The sequence below is a fragment of the Homo sapiens genome, chromosome 10 (genome assembly GCF_000001405.40).
Source record: "Homo sapiens chromosome 10, GRCh38.p14 Primary Assembly".
NCBI classification, from domain to species: domain Eukaryota; kingdom Metazoa; phylum Chordata; class Mammalia; order Primates; family Hominidae; genus Homo; species Homo sapiens.
Window position 1 is genome coordinate 95,936,110 of NC_000010.11, and position 22,249 is coordinate 95,958,358.

The following is a 22,249-nucleotide window of genomic DNA, read 5'->3' on the forward strand; positions in this document are numbered from 1 at the left end:
GGGCTAGGTGCTGTGGCTGTGGCCACTTTTCCTTCTTGTAGGGCAAGCATAAAGATATTAGGTCAGTAGGAGTAAAGAGTGGGGCAAATGGGCTTCTTGGGTATGAGGAAGTCAAGGTTTAGATGTGAGCTGTTTAGAGAAGTTGTTTGGAAAAGCTATCTGCCCTGCAGCTAGTGACTACTGTCCCCATCACAGAAAGGAGAATGCTACTTCTTTTGTAAGAGGCTGAGTTTGAGTGTGGCACCTTCCTGCTGGGAGAAAGGGGAGCCCTCGTTCCAGATATCTCATCTGGGCAACCCAGAGTGAGGCCTGGGGTTACTTTCAGAAGGTTCTGCTTGTCACACCACAGTTAACAAGGCATGTTCCTGTGAGAAGGGGCAGGGACACTACCCCTTTTTTACTGCACAAAACTCACTTGTATCCATCTAGACTTATATCTTCTGACCCCATTCACCCTATCACACAATAGCCAACAGCACACACATTGCTCTGCTGTGAGCTGCATAGTGAAGACCAAGAAAGTGATCTGGGATAGCAGCTGGACTCAGACTAAGTGAGGAACAGTTGAGCAGGTAGGACTTGTATTGGTCCAGATCACAGCTTGTCTCAAGCTAAAAATATAGGCAGATTGGGTAGGGCTTATAAAAAAAAGACCCACAGAGTCATAACTCAGAGGCTAGAGTCCAAGATGAGAGCCCAGCGTAGTCTACCATCAGGGCAGACCTTAGCTCTGAAGGCAGGTGGAAAGCCCTGGCCCACACAAGGGGTGTTATAAAGGAAGCTTGGTTATGAGAGCTCCAGTTGGAGCAAAGAGGCTTTGTAGTCTACGACTGGGATCTTCAAAGAGAGCCCCCATGTGGAGATCCGCCAAATCTTGCTCCTAGATGTTGGCATACTTTATTTAAATTCTGAAAAGGATATCATGAAGATTTCTGGATATAAAATATTATCCTGATTTCATGGCAGGGATATAGGAGGGAGGGTATGATGATATGATTTTATATGAACCTAGTGGATGTTTAATGACATTACTTATTTAACTTTGTCAGTATTGATCGAGGCCATGTAGGGATTATCTGGTCAAAGGAATTCTGTGATTAACTTTTTAAATTTTATTATTTACCCTAAATGTGTGTTTTTGAAAACTGAGGGATTTTTGTCTGACTCACACACTGTCTCTGTTGTTCAGTATGTGTATATTTCAAATTAGACAGATAAAATCATCCAAAATAATGATTTTGCTTTCATGAATAGACTCATTAAATTTATGAGTATGATACATTCATTTTAATATTTAGTAATGTATCTGTTTCCACATCTATGTTCAAATTGTTTATAACCTTTATATATATCATATATCAGAATTTCACTATAATCACTCTACTAGACTTCTATGCTGAATCTTTACTTTTCTTTCTTCTTTCTTTTTTTTTTTCATGAATACCTTGTAGAAAAAAGCATGCCTACTCTACAGCACTTTAGGTGGTACTGTTTTCTGAATGATGGGGAAAAAAAGGATTTAGGGTCACATGGTCTGGTATCTTTGGACCCTGCCCTACACTGTGTATTCTCAGTAGTTGAAATATTACAGTTGAGTATCTCAGAACATTTTCCATAGGGGAGGAAGGGCTATTTCAGCAGTCTTTCAGTGAAGAATTGCAAAGATGGGCTATAGAAAAATCATATTGTGTAATACTAAACCTTAAATGAGTTCTAAATTCAGTGAAATTTCATTGTAACACAAGTTCAACTGGAACTTGTTCTGTGGGTGGCAGGATCAGACGCACAGTTCACAGTAAGGTTCCAGTACATTTCATTTATTTGCATATTAATCATTGGAGACAAGCATGTAAACTTATTTTCCTTTTTGGTATTCAACAGAGACCAGTAAACCGTAGTTATCCCAAATGCTTTTCACTTGGTGTTAATTTACAAAATGTTGCTGAGAGTGAAGAGGAAGAGTTTATGAAAGAATTCATTTTGACAGATATACTCAAAGTAAAAGCTGCTGACTATGAAGATGATCAAGAACAAATAAAAAAACAGAAGGCAAATATTTTTGTACCAAGTAGTTCTCCAGGTAACATTCTTTCCCAGTAAAATATTCAAGTCATTAACGAATTATGTTATGGGATAATAGCTTTATTGTATGCTGGATAAATAAAAAATACTGATCTAAAATTATAGTAACTTTTCTATATTTGTTTTTCATGACTTCCCTGAATTAAGGGAACTGATTAAGAGAACTCATTCTTCATTTAAAAAATGTACATATATAGGCATATGTATTTATATATAGAGAGAGAGAGCGAGCGAGAAAGTAAGAGACAGTGAGAGAGAGGCTTTCTGCTAGACTTCAGTAGTAGGGTGTAATTATAGTTGTTTGTACTACTTATTTGGTCAATATCCATTTAATATTTTGGACTTTAAAGTAATATCTAAGTTTTATTGTTATAAAGTGGTTAACCAGCGCAAACTGCCAAAAGATATGATGCCACGTATTCTAGAAGATGAAGGATTCTATATTCAGAGAAAGCCAGAAATATACAAAAAGACCTGCAACAAAATGGAAAATCGCCTGCTTAAACTAGAAGAGGCAAGTGCACCACCTAACAAGTTAAAACACTGGCTACTATGTGACTTATTTAGCAAAATATTTAATTACTATACTTAAATATTTTTGATAGGGAAAATGTTGGTTTGGAGAAAGTGGAGAAATAATGTCATTACCTACACCTATTAAACAGTCATGGAATTTCAGACTAAATGTAAGGAAGGAACCTTTAAATCCATTACTTAAGACCATATACAGGAAGGTAACCAACAACAATTTATTTGTAATTATGGTTAAAATTCTTGTAATATCAATTATCGCTGGTGGTTTTGTGGTGTTGATTTATCCTTTAAAGATACTAAGTCTACTAATATAATGTCTAAATCATGATGAAATGTTAAATAGCCCTTAAAATTATAGTTTCAAGGAATATTGAATGATATGGGGAAATGCTCAAAATAAAATCTGAAGTGAAAAAAGCAGAATGCAAAATTATGTATGGTGCTAATTTTACAAAAATAATGAATAAATGAATGATACTCAAGGTAGCCACTATTATAACTTCTACCACTACGTTACTCTTGTCTGTTAGTTTTACCTATTTTATATAAATGGAATAATAGAATAGGTACTCTATATTGTTGTGTACAGCAATAGCTTGTTCATTTCTGTTGCTGTATAGAACTCCATAGTATGAAAAATACCTTTATTTATTAACCATTCTTTTATTGATGGATATAAGTTACATCCAGTTTTGACTATTACTAATAACACTACCATGAAAATTTGCACATCTTCTGATAACTGTGTGTGTATGCATTTTCTGTTGGTAAATATCTCAGAGTAGAAATGCTGGGTTATAGGTTTGTATATGTTTAGTTTTACTATATAGTGCCAAATGATTTTCTAAAGTGGTTGTACCAAACTATACACAAACTAAGAAGTGTGTGAGAGTTTCAGCTGCTTTATATTCCTGTCAACATTTGGTATTATCTGTCTTTTAAATCATAGCCATTCTGATGTACATAAGTTGTATTTCATTGAAGTTTTAATCTGCATTTCCCTAATGACTAATGAAACTGAACACCTTTTCATGTCTGTTGGTTATTAGGACAGCCTTTTTTATGAAAGCTTGGTTAAGACTTTTACCCATTTTTTTCTTATTGGATTGTCTGCTTTTTCTTATTGATGTGTTGATTTCTGGATGTGAGCCCTCATATAATGTACTCTATGGCTAATTTTCTCACTGTCTGTATTAGTCCATTCTCACATTACTATAAAGAAATACCTGAGACTGGGTAATTTATAAATAAAAGAGGTGTAATTGGCTCATGATTCTACAGGCTGTACAGGAAGCATGATGCTGGCATCTGCTTGGCTTCTGGGGAGGCCTCAAGAAACTTCTGGGAGGCCTCAGGAAACTTGCAGTCATGGTGGAGGGCAAAGAGGGAGCTGGCACTTCACGAGGCTAGAGTAGGAAGAAGAAAGAGAAGAGGGGAGGTGCCACCCACTTTTGAATGACTAGATCTCATGAGAACTCTATCACCAGAACAACCCCAAGGGGATGGTGTTAAACCATTCATGAAGGACCCACCCCCATGATCCAATCACTTTGTACCAAGCCCCACCTCCAACATTGGGGGTTACAACTCAACATGAGATTTGGGTGGAGACACAGATCCAAACCATATCACTCTTAATTGTGCTTTTTGATGGGATATTCTTAATTTTAATGTAGTATAATTTACCATTTTCTTTTTCTTTAGGGTTAGCACCTTTTATAGCCTGTTTAAGAAAGTGTGCTTACTCCAGGTCCCAAAAGTATTCTTCTGTTTTTATTCTAAAAAGTTTATTGTTGTACCTTTCTCATTTAGAGTTACCACCCATCTGGAAGGTACTTTCTATGTATAGTGGTAGGTAGGGGGTCATATTTCATTTCATCCACATGGATATCCAGTTGACTTAGTACCATTTATTGAAAAAAATCAATAAACCTTTTCTCATTATAATTCATTGTCATCTTTGACATTAGTCAGCTGACCATCTATGACTTTAAAAATAAAGGACTAGTCAATGGAAAGACATCCCATGTTCATGGGTTAGAGGACTTAATATTGTTAAAAATATCCATACTACCCAAACTGATCTGCAGACTTAGAGCAATCCATTTCAAACTCCCAATGACATTTTTTTACAGAAATGGAAAAAAAATCCAATAATTAATAAGGAACCACAAAGGACCTTCAAGGTAGAAGCTTTATATTCCTGACTTCAAAATATATTACAAAGCTACATTAATCAAAACAGGATGGTACTGGCATAAAGACAGATATATGGACCAATGGAACAGAATGAAGAGCCCAGAAATAAACTTATGTATATACAGTCAAATGATCTTCAAGAGGGTGCCAAGACTACACAATGGGGAAAGGATAGTCTCTTCAACAAATGGTGCTGGGAAGACTGGACATCCACTTGCAAAAGAATGAAATCAGACCTTTATCTTACATCATACACAAACATCAACTCGAGATGGAGTAAAGACTTAAAAACAATACCTGAAACTATAAAACTCCTAGATGAGAACGTGGAGGAAAGCCTTTATAACATCGTTCTTGGCAGTGGTTTCCTGGATATGACACCAAAAGCGTAGGCAACAAAACAAAAATAGAGAAGTGAGACTACAACAAACTAAAATGCATCTGTTGCAGTAAAGGAAACAATCACCAGAGACAGAAGGCAACCTATGGAATGGGAGAAAATATTTGCAAACCATATATCTGATAAGAGATTGAAATCCAAAATATATAAAGAACTGATTTAACTCAGTAACAAATTAAAAAATGGGAAAAAGACTTGAACAGACATTTCTCCAAAAAAAACCAAAGATGCATACAAATGGCCAACAGACATATAAAACATGCCTAACATCACTAATTGTCAGAGAAATGCAAATCAAAACCATAGTAAGATATCACTTCTCACCTGTTAGGATGGTCATTATTTAAAAAAAAAATCCCCTGAAAATAACAAGTGTTGGCAACAATGCGGAGAAATTAGAACCCTTGTACACTGTTGGTGGGAATGTAAAATGGTGCGACCACTATGGAAAATGGTATGGAGTTCCTCTGCAAATTTAAAATAGAACCGTAATATGATCCAACAATCTCACTTCTGGGTATTTATCCAGAAAAATTAAATTTAAGATTTTGAAGTGATATTTGCATTCCCATGTTCATTGCAGCATTATTCACAATAGCCAAGAGGTGGAAACAACCTAGCTGTTCATTGACAGTTGAATAAAGAAAACATGGTGTATGTAGCCATAAATAATAAATCTTGTCATATGCTAAAACATGGGTGAAGCTTGAAGATGTTATACTAAATGAAATAAGTCAATCACAGAAGAACAAATTCTGCATGATTCTGCTTATATGAGGTATCCAAAGTAGTTCAGCTTCACAGAAGCAGAAGGTAGAATGGCGGTTGCCAGGGGCTTGGGGAAGAGAGAAATAGGGAGTTGCTGTTCAAAGGGTATAGAATTTCAGTCATGCAAGATGAAAAAGCCCTAGGGATCTATGGTACAACATTGTGCTTATAGTTAATAGTACTGTAAACTTAAACGAGGGTAGATCTCATGTTTTGTATTTTTTACCATAAAAAATAGGACCATTCAGATTTTATATTTTCTCTAATTTGTCTTCTACTTTTGCTTTTTAAAAAATTCTTTTTTCTCTCTGAATTTTAGTTTGCATATATTCTATTGACCTGTCTTAACCATTCACTTATATAATTTTCTGCCATATTTTATCTCCAGTTAAATCCACCCAATGAGTTCTTTCCCTTTATTTCTTTTATATGTTTAAAATATCCCCTTCTTCACCTTAAGAAAAAGATTTGGTAGTGTTTATTTGCCCTTGTGTTCTTTCTAGTATAGGCTTAATTTCTAAATTTTAAATTTTTTGCCATTTTCTTTCACCTAATTTCTGAGTTTAATTCTGATTTATGTTTTTAAATGTCATATAACTTCCATATAAATTCAGCTCACTGTGAAAACCACATTTCTATTTTTATCTGGTTTTGGATACCTTTCTGGTGTGCTTTGATTTCCTGTAGGCTGTTATTTTGCTGTTTATTCTTTTTTCTTATAGAAACTTTGATGGATTTAATCTTGATCCTTTTCTACTGCTTATTTTTATATAAAATTATTTTTCCTAAACTTTTATAAAAAGGCTCAGTTCAAATAACTTTTCTATTTTCACAGACCTGTTGTTTTTGTGTTGTGTTAAAATATATTGTGGCTGGATTTCTGAAATGTCTTGGCTCTATTCCCTTCCCCAGATTTTTTTCTGGACCTCCTTTTTCCTTAATTCCTGTGGTCCCCATACTTCTTAGTTTCGATTTCACTCCCAGTAGTTTCTATTCAGTGTGAAGGCTCATTCTGAAAATTCCTGGGAACTAGATTCCTGCAGCTCCTTCGGTCCTTAACCTGACCATCCACAATTGGAGTAGACAAAACCTGTTCCAATTTTAGCTGCTGTTTTTAAGTTGGCCTGCTGTACTTTCTGGTGCATTTCTGTTGGCTCTTTTGGACTCTTGTCAGGTCTATCAGATGTTCCATTGCTTCTCTCTGCTATCTCCCACACAATCGCCAATGCTATTCAGACCTTCTGAATATTGATGATTTGTCTTCACTGACTTGTGTTTTGGGTTTCATGAGGCATTTCTTGAGAACTACTTCTATTATAAATCTTGTCCGTGGATTTTTGGTTTTGCTGTCTAGTTGCTCTGCCTCTTTTAATATAGGAATTTGGGAAGATCTAAAACTGTACTGCCACCATATTTTCAGACCAGCCCATCTGCTGACTTCTTAATTTTACATATTTTCAATACATTTTTTGCTTGAAAGTGTTCATTCGACATTTAATTCTTCTGTAAATATTCTAATTTTCTTGAGATATATTTAGTCTTTTCATGGGTTTTTGCTGCTATTTTTAATACAGTAATAATAGCTACTTTAAAGTTCATATCTGGTAACTACAATATTTGGATCACTATGAATCTTTTTATTATCTATTTTTTCTCTTGGTTTTGCTCATTTAGTCTTGCCTCTTATTATGACAGGTGATTTTAAAAATTGTATTCTACATTATTATATATGAAAAATTATAGAAGCCCGAGATGATGTTATCTTCCACCAGAAATGTTCCATCCTTTGCTTTGTTAAGCGTATTGAGGATGATCATCTTCATCCAACCAGGGACTTAACTGATTTAAAGACTGAATTACAGTTTTGTTGAGGCTCATTCTGTATCTATATTTTCCGTTTACCTAGTATTTTCTCTGCTTGACTGCAAGCAGGGCAGGGTTTTTGTTTTGTTTTATTGGCTTGTTTTATAATTTATTGCTAACACCTACCCAAATGCCTAGCATTGAACGAATGCTTATATTATGTGTAATAGAACTCATCACCTCAGTCACTGTATGCTTTTAGGGTCCTAATATAATTTAGAAGATAAAGACTGACAGAAGTTCACTGGCATAATCTTAGAAAATGTTATTTCCTACAAGGTGCTTATCATACCATGAGAGACTAGCAATGTCTCTGCCCCATCCTAATTCATAGTGGAACACAGTTGTCAAGATTTTATAAATGGTACCACCATACCAAACATTACAATATCTTCATGTATTTTCCCAGTTGGCTTACTATAAAAGAATCTATCACCATTAAAATATAAAAACATAAAAGAATAAAAGAGGAGGGAAAAGCCCTGCTATTTATCTTATTCTTTGATATTATGTGGCATAATTTCTAGACTTTATAGTGACAATGCATTTTATCTAAATTTTGCTCCAGATATAGCAGAGATATTTTGGTGTAATTATCTGGGATCATTGCTTTTAGGAGAGAGGCCTTTGAAACAACAACAATTTGTTGAATGAATGAATAAATGAACAAATGCATCATAAAAAGTAAATGCATAATTTACAATTATTGAAGAAATATTAACCACCATTCAGGTTAACCTTTGTAATAATCTAGAATCCCAAGTTGGAAACCACTGGGCTGAACAAGTAACTTTCTTTTAGTGCATCTGTTCTAGCTTCATCCAAGCACAATTACAGGATTTCATGGACTGCTATAATTTGGAAAAAATGTAAAGGCCATCTCACCAACTGTCTAAATTGAGTTTTAAAATTCTTTCTTGCAGCTGCTGTGATTTGAATGTGTCTCCTCTAAAATTCAGGTTTTTTCAATGTGATAGCATTAAGGGGTAGGACCTATAAAAGGCAATTAGGCCATTAAGGCCCCTCCGCTATTGTCAATGGATTAGGTGCTCTTATAAAGGGGCTTTTGCCCTTCCACCATCTGCCATGTGAGGACACAGCATTCCTCCCTTCCAGCGGACACAGCAAAAAGGTCCACACTAGACATGAGATGTGGTGTCTTAATCTTGGACTTCCCAGCCTCCAGAACTGTGGAATAAATTTCTTTTCTTTATAATTTACCTAGCCTCAGGTACTCTGTTATAGTAGAACAAATTGACTAAGACAGTAGCATCCTTAACAGATCATGTCCTAGATTTTGTGTCAGACAAATGCCTCTACCTGCCTTTCTCTTCTATCTTCTTCACATTTTTCGTGTTGCCCAGCCAGCCTTGAAGGAAAAGCTGATTTACGGTCTCTCACCAGAATAAATATAAGGGCAACCAAGGTAGATATAATAGTTGTATGCATATCAGAGTCCTGTCTTTGCTTCTGCCTCTGCCAGGTACTTTAACAGCTTGTTGTACCTCTACTATCCCAGGTACCCTATTTGCCTGCTATTTACTGATTAGTTTCGTCTGACCATTTGACTATGACCTTCCCTCTGCTCCCATTTCTAGCACTCTTTTTATATATTTACATAGATTTTTATATGTCAACCAGCTTGGATGTTTTTGTGCTTTTATGTAGCCTTTGATTCATTGTTGCCCAAATCTTTATGCTTTTGGTAGAACACACTTACCTAGTTCTAGAAGCCTATTTAACTCACTCGGTCAAGTGCTGCTTTTCACCAATGTGTCAGGGAGTTTGCTACCTCTCAAAAGAATTCATTCTAATGTTGGACTTTTTTTTTTTTTTTTTTTTTTTTGAGACGGAGTTTCACTCTTTTTGCCCAGGCTGGAGTGCAATGGTACAGTCTCAGCTCACTGCAACCTCTGCCTCCCAGGTTCAAGTACTTCTCCTGCCTTAGCCTCCCGAGTAGCTGGGATTACAGGTGTGCACCACCACGCCTGGCTAATTTTTGTATTTTTAGTAGAGATGGGGTTTTGCCATGTTGGCCAGGCTGGTCTTGAACTCTTGACCTCAGAAGACCTGCCCGCCCAGCCTCCCAAAGTGCTAGGATTACAGGCGTGAGCCACCACGCCCAGCGGACAGTTCTAATTGTTCTTTGTTTTCTGTTGTTAAAGTCTGTCTCCAGGTCACTTCTACTTATTTGACCCTTTTTGGCCATAAGGAACACATAAAGTACTTCATCTATGTGACACCTCCTCAAATGTTTGAAGCCTACAGTCACTTCCACCTTTAGTTTTTGCTCTCCAGTCTAAATTGCCTCCTTTGGTTGTTGTTAGATATTCCACCACCTCATTTACCCTCCTCTAGCTTCTTAGCACTGTAGTCAGTAGGTGCTGAAGAGGACAGGACCAAGGGCAGAGGCTTGTGTCACTCCATTAGAAACCCAAAGCAACTGAGCAACACAGTTATTCAACCAGTGCTGGATCTGCTTAACAAGACAGGATTCTCTAGCTTAGGAACTTTAATTTTCAAAAGTTCATTTACAATTTAGTTGTTTTAAATGGAAAATGATTTTTCCTTGGTGTTTTCTTTCCTGTTTAATGGCCAATTTACCAACTTATTACCAATTGTCTAAATCTCTCAGGTGAAATCAAGAGCAGGTTTCCCCTTTTATGGGTTGGCTCTTACATAAAGAACAAAGACTTACCAGCCATAAACAAGCTTTATTGCTGTTTGTCTGCCTCCCTGAAACCCAGTAAGGAAGAAGGAAAGGTTCCTAACTCAGGAAAAAATAAGGAGGCAGAGATTTAGGCACCGTACAGATGGCTTTCAGTCCTTGAGGAGCATTGGGTCTGCCACACCAGGTTAGGGGTGGGACAACATTAGGTGTAATAGCAATGGCACAGACTGAAGAGCATATCATATTACACCAGACTGATCCAGAGAGTGGGCTCAGTGTGCTCCTATTTGGGTTGATGCATTCATGGCTTTTATCAGGAGTGGCTAGGCATTGATGAATCAGGCTGCATATGCTAAGTAACTCACCAACCCTCGTAAATTGCATTACTGAAAACCAATGATATTGAGCACATGCATATTCAAACATGTGCATAAATTCCAAATAGTGGACTCAAAAATATATATATATATATATATATATATATATATTTTTTTTTTTTTTTTTGAGACAAAGTATTGCTCTGTCACCCAGGCTAGAGTACAATGGTGTGATCTCAGCTCACTGCAACCTCCGCCTCCTGGGTTCTAGCGATTCTCCTGCCTCAGCCTCCCAAGTAGTCGGGATTACAGGGACCCATCACCACTCCCGGCTAATTTTTGTATTTTTAGTAGAGATGGGGTTTTGCCATGTTGGCCAGGCTGGTCTCGAACTCTTGACCTCAGGTGGTCCACCTGCCTCGGCCTCCCAAAATGCTGGGATTATACAAGTATGAGCCACCACACTCGGCCTATTCCTTTACTTTCTTAATAAACTTGCTTTTACTTAAAAAAAAGGTGGTCAGGTGCAGTGGCTCACACTTGTAATCCCAGCACTTTGGGAGGCCGAGGTGGGCAGATCACGAGGTCAGGAGATCAAGACTATCCTGGCCAAAATGGTGAAACACCGTCTCTACTAAAAATACAAACATTAGCTGGGTGTGGTGGCATGCACCTGTAGTCCCAGCTACTTGGGAGGCTGAGGCAGGAGCATCGCTTGAACCTGGGAGGTGGAGGTTGCAGTGAGCTGAGATCACGCTACTGCACACTGCATTCCAGCCTGGTGACACAGTGAGACTCCGTCTCAAGAAATAAAAAAAAAAAAAGATGGACTAAAACAGTTGAATCATCTTCCATATGATCTAAAGCCTACAGACTTCAGAAATTTAAGGACAATCTGGTATCAAAATGGAGACAATCTCATGTACAAAAACAGGTGCTCTTCTTATGGGAATTGCTTAGAGGGCCCAGGCTCCTGAAGATAATTTCCCAGAGGATCACCAGTGTATTCATTTATAAACAATGTTTTAATAAGTAATTCTCATTTAACTCTGGCCCACGGTTCTAAACACCATTTGTCATAGTGTTTCTATAGGAAATTATTTTTGGTTTTATAACTTGAAAGTCCAACTTCCACTCCACCAGCACACAATACTGAGATAGATTACAATAGTTAATAGTAAGATGATTCTTCACAGAATTGGAAAAAACTACTTTAAAGTTCATATGGAACCAAAAAAGAGCCCGCATCGCCAAGTCAATCCTAAGCCAAAAGAACAAAGCTGGAGGCATCACACTACCTGACTTCAAACTATACTACAAGGCTACAGTAACCAAAACAGCATGGTACTGGTACCAAAACAGAGATATAGATCAATGGAACAGAACAGAGCCCTCAGAAATAATGCCGCATATCTACAACTATCTGATCTTTGACAAACCTGAGAAAAACAAGCAATGGGGAAAGGATTCCCTATTTAATAAATGGTGCTGGGAAAACTGGCTAGCCATATGTAGAAAGCTGAAACTGGATCCCTTCCTTACACCTTATACGAAAATCAATTCAAGATGGATTAAAGATTTAAACGTTAGACCTAAAACCATAAAAACCCTAGAAGAAAACCTAGGCATTACCATTCAGGACATAGGCGTGGGCAAGGACTTCATGTCCAAAACACCAAAAGCAATGGCAACAAAAGCCAAAATTGACAAATGGGATCTAATTAAACTAAAGAGCTTCTGCACAGCAAAAGAAACTACCATCAGAGTGAACAGGCAACCTACAACATGGGAGAAAATTTTCGCAACCTACTCATCTGACAAAGGGCTAATATCCAGAATCTACAATGAACTCAAACAAATTTACAAGAAAAAAACAAACAACCCCATCAAAAAGTGGGCGAAGGACATGAACAGACACTTCTCAAAAGAAGACATTTATGCAGCCAAAAAACACATGAAGAAATGCTCATCATCACTGGCCATCAGGGAAATGCAAATCAAAACCACAATGAGATATCATCTCACACCAGTTAGAATGGCAATCATTAAAAAGTCAGGAAACAACAGGTGCTGGAGAGGATGTGGAGAAATAGGAACACTTTTACACTGTTGGTGGGACTGTAAACTAGTTCAACCATTGTGGAAGTCAGTGTGGCGATTCCTCAGGGATCTAGAACTAGAAATACCATTTGACCCAGCCATCCCATTACTGGGTATATACCCAAAGGACCATAAATCATGCTGTTATAAAGACACATGCACACGTATGTTTATTGCGGCACTATTCACAATAGCAAAGACTTGGAACCAACCCAAATGTCCAACAATGATAGACTGGATTAAGAAAATGTGGCACATATACACCATGGAATACTATGCAGCCATAAAAAATGATGAGTTCATGTCCTTTGTAGGGACATGGATGAAATTGGAAACCATCATTCTCAGTAAACTATCGCAAGAACAAAAAACCAAACACCGCATATTCTCACTCATAGGTGGGAATTGAACAATGAGATCACATGGACACAGGAAGGGGAATATCACACTCTGGGGACTGTGGTGGGGTCGGGGGAGGGGGGAGGGATAGCATTGGGAGATATACCTAATGCTAGATGACACGTTAGTGGGTGCAGCGCACCAGCATGGCACATGTATACATATGTAACTAACCTGCACAATGTGCACATGTACCCTAAAACTTAGAGTATAATAAAAAAAAAAATTAAAAAAAAAAATAGTAAGATGATTAAAATGCTGTAATATAAATATATTTGATGAAATTAAGGGCCATAATCAATTTAAGGAAAAGGAATCAAATTATTATTTTTTGTTTTTCTATATCTCTTGATTTTCCTACAATTGAAATGTTACTTTTGTAAGGAAAAGTTACTTATAATTTCAAAAGAAACTGAATCAAATTAACATTGTGCACTTATTTTTCTTTAAAAGGCAGTAAAATATGACCTGGGAAGTTCATTTATGAACAAAATGGAAGGTTCAAGGGAAATATACCAGTTAGACCTCAACATTGTGGGTTTGCAATTCAGCCATCATCATCTCTTCAATCAAGAGCAAGTATTATGCGCAAGGCTTCTCCAACTTTATGAATGTTTTCAGGACAGGCAGCAACAGAATGTATCTCAGCTGCTTTATGAGAAGGTGAGAATGGCTTTCATTATAAAGCTAAACATTTAATATTGAAAAAGAAAAAATTCCTTGTGCAGAGCAAATTATCAGAACATTTTCTAAATATTTAAGTAGAACAATGGTTCAATTTCAGTTTCTCTGAAAAGAAACTGTAGGAATTGACTGGCTGGGGAGAAAGCTTTAAATATATCCTATGGGATATTTATTTACCACAAATGGTTTACTAATCAATGGTATTCTTGGTCCTATAACTCAAGAAGAGTATTTGAAATGATTATTAATGAAAAGAGCCATGTGGCTGTTTTAAGTCTTATAATAAAGTATTTTAATTAAAATATTAGAAATCTTGACTCTCATAACAAACCTGAAGAGTCTTGGTCTGAAGATGATTAATCCAAACAGTCATCTCATGACATCATGAGGGGTATATGAAGTCTGAAGAGAAATAGAAGGAGTACCCACTGATTACTTTTATAAACTTGTGCCTCATTTAAACTCTCTGCTAGTTTTCTGATATATGAGCATTTTGTTGACTAGTGTTCTCTTGGGAAAGGTATTTTGATAGTATGTCTCATTCAACTAATGAATACATTTGAAATCAAATCCCCTCTAAGCTATTTAATGAAACATTCAATCCTGATGGAGCCACAAAGCCGTCTCAATAAACTGGACATGAACTAATTATGAACCTTCATAAATATCTGTTATGAACCTTCATAAATATCTGCTTTTTTTTTTCTTTTTGAGATGGAGTCTTGCTCTGTCGCCGAGGCTAGAGTGCAGTGGCGTGATCTTGGCTCACTGCAACCTCTACCTCCCGAGTTCAAGCGATTCTCTTGCCTCAGCTTCCTGAGTAGCTGGGACTACAGGTGCCCACCACATGCACGGCTAATTTTTGTATTTTCAGTAGAGATGGGGTTTTGCCATGTTGGCCGGGCTGTTCTCGAACTTCTGACCTCAGGTGATCTGCCTAACTCGGCCTCCCAAAGTGCTGAGATTACAGGCATGAGCCACCATGCCCGGCTAATATGTGCTTTTTAAAATATAAGTTTAAAACCCACAGGACTTAATCCATTTTTTTTTTTGAGATAAGGTGTCATTCAGGCTGCAATGCAGTGGCTCAATCATGGCTCACTGCAGCCTCAACCCAGGCTCAAGCTGTCCTCCCACTTCAGCCTCCTAAGTAGCTGGAACTACAGATGTGCACCATCACACCCAGCTAAAGTTTTTTTCTTTTTCATAGAGACAGGCTTTTGCCATGTTGCCCAGGCTGCTCTTGAACTCCTGGGCTCAAGCGATTTGCCTGCCTCGGCCTCCTTATATGGTGGGATTACAGGTGTGAGCCACCATGCCCAGCCAGGAGTTAATCTATTTGATTTGATGAAGCAATTGTGTGGGAGAACTTAATAGATGAACACCATGCATTAGCAATATCAGAAGATTTCCTAAAATAAATATTGAATATTCTAACTTTTAGTAAAATATGGCCATTTTTTAAATGAATGAAGGAAACAACTCAGATTAAAATGCAGATCATTTAAAAAGTGATTTGATCTACAGATTTCTGCTTTATAGAATTTTTTCCCACAATATTATAGAATCTTTAAAATCTGATTTAGCAATATCAATTTTAGTTTATTAGAGTACCATCTATTAAAGTATATATAGACTCTGGGTTTATTTTTCATGTATATGCATGGCTCTCTGCATAAAATAAAAACTTTTGGGGTTATTATTTGCAATATGTTTCAGTATTATTATTGTATTAGGAACCAAATGTAATTTCTCAGTGGATTTTTGCTTTTTTTCAATTTATTCTCTTATGTGAATGTAAACATTTTCTCTAACTCCCAGTAAATTGTGAAAAGAGAAATGTGCTTGGAAGTGTGCATAATCTTCTCTTCTGAGGTAGAGAAGAGCAGTGGGGAAGAGAAGAAAAGGCCAGGTGGTGCAGAGCATGTTCATTGGCCTCCCACTAAAAGATTAATTTCTTAAACATGGATAATTTAGTCCCTGGGTGTGAAATGTATGGCTTTGCCTGTTCCCAGTGTTTTCAAACCAATTCAGAGTAGTGGAAGAGTCATTGGCATCCAAGGAATTCTTAAACTGAAATATGCTCCTTTATATGAGTATGACTTCCACTTAAAGAACAAAGAGGGATGTTGCTGATAGTATGAGAGAGTAGAAAGGATGCTCAGCTATGCAGATTTCTGCTCTTTTTCCCTCTAGCTTTAAAAAATTGTACAAGTAATACCGGAATACGTTCTCCCTGGAAAAGATTAATTGTAGAAGTGTCAAGATGTGAAAGCCCTACTTCGTTCATCACCTCATGGTTTGGACATCCTTTAGTTCTTTGAGTACATCCTTAAAGTTCTCCTCTCCCTGTATTTCTATATGTATGTATGCCATGATTGTTTTTAACATAAATTGGATCTTACCATATGTATTATTTGGCAACTTGGTTTTTTTTAGATACAGCATCTTGTTATGTTGCCCAGGCTGGACTCAAACTCCTGGGCTCAAGCAATCCTCCCACCTCAGCCTCCCAAGTAGGTGAGACTACAGGTGTGCACCACCATGCCCAGCTGGTTTTCTGAAATTAATACTCTATCTTGGAACTTTTTATGTATCACTATATATATATAAGTCCATAATATAGGTTTATTTTAATATATTTAATCACTCCCATTCAATGGCACTTAGGTCATTTCTTTATGATTAATAATGAAGCAGTGAATATCCTTGTACCTATATATTTGAACACATATATGAAAACTTCTATAGGATAGATCCATAGAAGTGAAGTTGCCTGGTCAAAGGTAAGGGTATATGCAGTTTGAATTTTATTAGAAAGTGATAAAATGCCTTTCCCAAATGTTTTTCCAATTTGAATTTCCACTGGCAAGGCAGGACAGAGCCCACTTCCCAGAGCCTTCACCAATATTCAGTATTTTTCTCTAGCTTTATTTTTAATTAATTCACAAGTTAAAAAAGAATATATATATTTTTCTAGATGTAAGTCCATAAAAGAAGTATGTCTTTTAAATATGTTTTGTATATTTTTGTCCTATTCTGTTACTTGCTTTTAAACTTTATTATATATTTTGGCAAACATTTTAAATTTAAAAAAAATTCTTTTTTGAGAAAGGTCTCACTCTGTCCCCCAGAGTGCAATTATAACTCACTGCAGCCTCTAACTCCTGGGCTCAAGTGATGCTCTCACTCAGCCTCCCAAGTAGCTGGGACTACAGGTACATGCCACAACACCCGGGTCATTTTTAAAAAAATTTTAAGAAACAAGGTCTTGCTGTATTGCCAGAGTGACCTTGAAATCTTGGCCTCAAGCAATCCTCGTACCTCAGCTCCCTGAGTTGTTGGGATTACAGGCATGAGCCACTGAGCTTGGCAAGCATTTTACATTTTTACGACGTCAAATCTGTTCATCTTTTCCCTTGTGAATTTTAGATTTTCTTGTTTGCTTCCTAAGCTTCCTAAGACCTTCTCTACCCCAAGTTTATCAATTAGCATATTTTTGGTTGCAATTCATGGAGAACTTCATCTCAGTTACTTCAGACAATAAGGAAAAGGCATTACCTCATATTGTCCAAGTTAGGGCAGCTCTAGGTTTGGTTAATTTGGTGTCTCGATGATATTATCAACAACCCTAGCCTTTTCTGTCCTTCTCTTCATCTTCAGCAAGTTGACTTGTGGTTAGCTCTACTTATGGAAGCTAACCAAGTGGCTGCTCCAGTTGAAGGCATACTGGTCAGACACACAATATGCAGCGTAGTGTCTCACATTGAGAGCCTTCTCCAATCTCTCTCCTGCCCTGCAGCAGATTTCCCCTGATATTTCATTGACTAGAATTATTTTGCATGATAATGCCTAAGCCATTCATTGGCAAGAATGAAATGGCTGCAAATAGCTGCACTAATCAGTTTACCTCAAAAACACATGGAAAATGATTGAGCAATTGAACAAAACTGGTGTTCTGCCAACAAAGAAAAATGATCCTTTAAGGGCAATGAATAGTGTCTGACAGACCAAAATTATAAAGACTTCCTTTTATATATCCTTATGGTATATATTATATATGTATTTGTGTATGTGTATACATATGGATTTGTGAGTATATATGTGTGTGTCAAAGGGCATGTGTGTATATTATTTCTAGCCTTTTCTATCTAGAGTTTATATCTGTGTCTCAGCTAAGACTGGGCTCCAACTCCACTCTTTCTCCCAAAAGAGCAGCCTAATATCCAAATACCATCATTTATTTCCCTATTGATTTAAAATACTAACTTTATCCTATACCAGCTGCACATATTTATTAATATATAGGTTTGCTTGAGGACTGTCTGTTCCTCATATGACATATTTGTCTAGTTCCGTACTGTTTCATTACCATATTTAATTATTAAATTATATGTCATAGCACAAGTGCCTCCTTGTTGTTCTTTTCTAGAATGTTTTTGGATACCCCACAGATTTTATCTTCTACATGAACCTTAGAATTAGCTTGTCACCTTCTATTTTTAAAACCCTGTTACCATCTTTATTGTGATTGTGTTGTACTGTTACATTAATTTTGAAAGAAATTTGATCCTCATAAAAATTGGGTTTCCTCTTCCAGGAATATAGTTTGTTTTCCTATGTTTAGGTCTTCTTGTATGTCTTCCAGTGAAAGTTTATATCAATTGACTCTAGTCTTGAAGTTCCCACAAATTACCTCCAACTGTGACAGACGTCTCCTTTATGTGTTTTAGGGCCTAGTTTCCTCCAGTTCTATTGCTCTATGGATGTTACTCTGTTTTATACCTTCTGCAGTATATCTTGTTCTCTTGATTTTATTCTTCTTGTTTTCCTACATTATGCACTTATCCATAAAGATAGTTATCAATATATGTATATAGATATGAATGTGGATAAAGACAGACATATATTTTTTCTGTAACTATGGGATTTTAGGTGAAAGATAAGATTGATACCTGTGCTCAATATGCCTTCTTGATCTAATGGCATTTCTTTATATCAATTGATGAATTGATTGTCTAGTAATGTTCAAGATACTAGATGTTATTAGATACTAAATTGATGTTTATTGCCTACATAGATATTGAGGCCTTTCTCAGTTCCTCCCCAAGGTGCTTATATAAAATATATTGTGGAAGATAAGCCAATAATACACACAAAGTTATACATTTGTTCGGCTGCTGCACACACCTTGACCTACAGGTGAACTGGATCAATGGTAACAGGCAGATAAAATATACCGAAGAGCTCTTTTTTTTTTGTTATAGCTGAAAGCACTGACAGATGCTACCAAATTGTCAAATGAAAATTCAGAAATTAACCAGCTGACCAGAAAATCTTTACAAGATTATTATTGGCAAATAAGGTAGGTTTTGAGCCATTCATGTTCATCAAGCATTCATTAAGTAACTTCTTTAGACAAAGTACTGCACTTGCTATGGAAGATAAAGAAAAGTACACAATCCTTACTTTTTAGGCGATTACAGAAATGGTTTCAATCTTTTTTAAGACCCACGTTTGTGTAAAAATATTTCACAGGGGTGCCATGTGAAAATAGTTCTAGTTTTAACATCCATTGATTTGTTTTAAAAAGTTGAAGAACTATGAGTTCATGAGTACTTTGAAATTGACTTGGATTATATTGATCTGAAGTGTTAGTATATATTTGAGAATTAGTGCACATTTACACATGTGCAAGATATATTATTATTTCAGTCTAAAGACAATATTTCACAAGTAGTGAATTTAAGGACCCCTGTAAAAAGCATGGTCTACAAGTTGGGAGCCATTGGCTTATAGACTGGAAAGCGAAGTTATGAAAGTATGAAATAACTGGGAAAGTAATTCCAAGACAAAACATATTCATGTGTCACAGAATCTCTAAAAGCAGGAAAATTCACTGGAAGGTATTCATAATCAGAAGACAGCCTTCATTCAGACTTCTGACATGAGTTTATACAACTTATTTAGCCTAAAATCTATCTCAGATTTAGAATTTAACTTAAAGTAGTCCCAGATTGGCATTGGCACCAAACAACAGGCAAAGCAAATACATATTTTTTTCTGAAAGAGCACAATTTTAATCCTAGCTCAGAGATTATTCAAAGATATAACATTTTAAGGAACATGAGCTTACAGTTTACAACCTCTTCTATCACACACACACAAAGACAGCATGAATAAGAGCCAGTAGAAATAATAGAAGGCTCATACAAGCAAAAGCTTAAGAAAATAGAATTATCAAATATAGAAAATAATATAACTTTTTAAAATATGATTTAAAAATAAAAGACAAGCTTGAAAATATGATCTACAAACAAGATATAGTAAATAATTGAGTACTTCTTGAGCTATTTTTATATAAGAAGAACCAAAGAGAATTTATAGAATTGAAAAATATAAAATGAAAATTTAAAAATTCAGTGGAAGGAGTTTCTAGGAAGATGGAAGAAGAAGAAGCACTAGGAATTAATCTGCCCACCCAGACAACAGTTGTACTAGCAGAGAACCTGTCTGATGTAACTGCAGTTGTCCCTCAGTATCTGCAAGGGATTGGTTCCAGAACCTCCTACACATACCAAAATTCATGGATGTTCAAGTCCCTTGTATAAAATGACATAGTATTTGCATATAACTTATGCACATCCTCTCATATACTTTAAATTGCTTCTAGATTATTTATAATACCCACTACAATGTAAATGCTATGTACATAGTTGTTCTACTGTATTTGTTTATTCACATTATTTTTTACTCTTGTATTGTTATTTTTATTGGCTTTTTAAAAAATGTTTTAAATCTGAGATTGGTTAATCTATAGATGCAGAACTCATGGATATGAAAAGCCTATATTTTGGAACTCTGGAGTCTATTGAAGGCTTGCAGCATCCAGAGGAAGGCTTGGGTGGTAAATTGGGGTTAATTTTGGTCAATGTCAGCTCTTAGCACAGTAGCAGCTATCCCCCCACCCCTGCCCCTCAGCCCCATGGCAGGCAGCTGTGTACCTGTTCCTGGAGTAATCCACACACATTTTTCAGGAGCCCAAGGTAAGCAAAAAGGACCTTATCCTACAAATATTGAGGACCTGTGCTCTGATCACTGCTTACTTCTAACCACAGAGGTGCAATGAGAAGGGGACCATTATTGTTGTACTTTTCCCCATTGTTGCAAGCCCCTCTATCTCTGGATAAAGTGACTTCCAGAGGATTTAAAAGGCTGGTGCCCCTTCCCCTCCCCTTCATTGTTTCTTTTTCCTCTTTTGGGAGCCAGATATTAAAGACTACGACATTTAAAAGCAACTGCATATACAGGGAAAATTAGAAAGTGACCACACATACCCAGGGAAAGGCATCAACTCAGAAAAGACTGGAGAGGACCTTATGTTTATACCTCAGCCTGATCCTGGGCACAGAGACAGCTGACAATGATTTTTTTTTTTTTTTTTTTTTTTTTGAGACAGAGTCTTGCTCTGTCATCCAGGCTAGAGTGCAGTGACACAATCTCGGCTCACTGCGACCTTCACTTCCCAGGTTCAAGCAATTCTCCTGCCTCAGCCTCCTGAGTAGCTGGGACTACAGGTGTGTGCCACCACGCCTGGCTAATTTTTGTATTTTTAGTAGAGATGGGGGTTCACCATATTAGCCAGGCTGGTCTCGAACTCCTGACCTCAGGTGATCCACCTGCCTTGGCCTCCCAAATTCCTGGGATTACAGGTGTGAGCCACCACACCTGGCCATGATTTAAAAAAAAAAAAATAACAATAACAAAAAACAGAAAGCCCTGGGAAAGGAGGACAATGTGATTTCTAGAGTTACCACATTATTAGATTCAAATGTCCAGTTTTCAACAACAAAAAAACACAAAGGTGTACAAAGAAACAGGAAAGTATGGCCAACTCAAAGGAAAAGAATAAATCAACAGAAACTATGCCAAAAAAAAAAACCTACTAGATAAAGACCTACTCAATGGCAGATCTACCAGATAAAGACTTGAAAACAACTGTCATAAAGATGCTCAAAGAACTAAAGAAAGATGTCAAGAAAGTCAAGAAAACCGTACGTTAAACCATGCATAAACAAAATAGGCCGGGCGTGTTGGCTCCAAGCCTGTAATCCCAGCACTTTGAGAGGCTGAGGTGAGCAGATTTCTTGAGGCCAGGAGTTCAAGACTAGCGTAGTTAACATGGTGAAACCCCAACTGTACTAAAAATACAAAAATTAGCCAAGTGTCATG

General features: G+C 36.7%; 1 protein-coding gene and 1 long non-coding RNA gene across 21 annotated transcripts in view; one reads left to right on the forward strand and one right to left on the reverse strand.

Annotated features, from left to right (window-relative positions):
- Window positions 1-22,249, reverse strand: part of ENTPD1-AS1 (ENTPD1 antisense RNA 1) — a 337,030-nt gene that overhangs the window by 182,904 nt on the left and 131,877 nt on the right. The gene's annotated exons all lie outside the window — the stretch shown is intronic.
- CC2D2B (coiled-coil and C2 domain containing 2B) overlaps window positions 1-22,249 on the forward strand; it is a 126,075-nt gene that overhangs the window by 28,439 nt on the left and 75,387 nt on the right. For 14 of the 20 annotated variants that reach the window (XR_002956979.2, XR_002956978.2, XR_002956977.2 and 11 more), the window contains 5 exons: window positions 1,882-2,080; window positions 2,460-2,596; window positions 2,688-2,816; window positions 13,787-13,996; window positions 19,285-19,382. Coding sequence is in view for 15 of the 20 variants with exons in the window: in XM_024447995.2 (XP_024303763.1) it covers window positions 1,882-2,080; window positions 2,460-2,596; window positions 2,688-2,816; window positions 13,787-13,996; window positions 19,285-19,382 (773 nt within the window). In the remaining 5 variants the exon portion in view is untranslated. Of the gene's footprint in view, window positions 1-1,881; window positions 3,890-13,786; window positions 13,997-16,215; window positions 16,381-19,284; window positions 19,383-22,249 lie in introns of those variants that run through there. The other 6 variants (XM_024447999.2, XM_047425225.1, XM_011539789.4 and 3 more) reach the window with 6 other exon arrangements.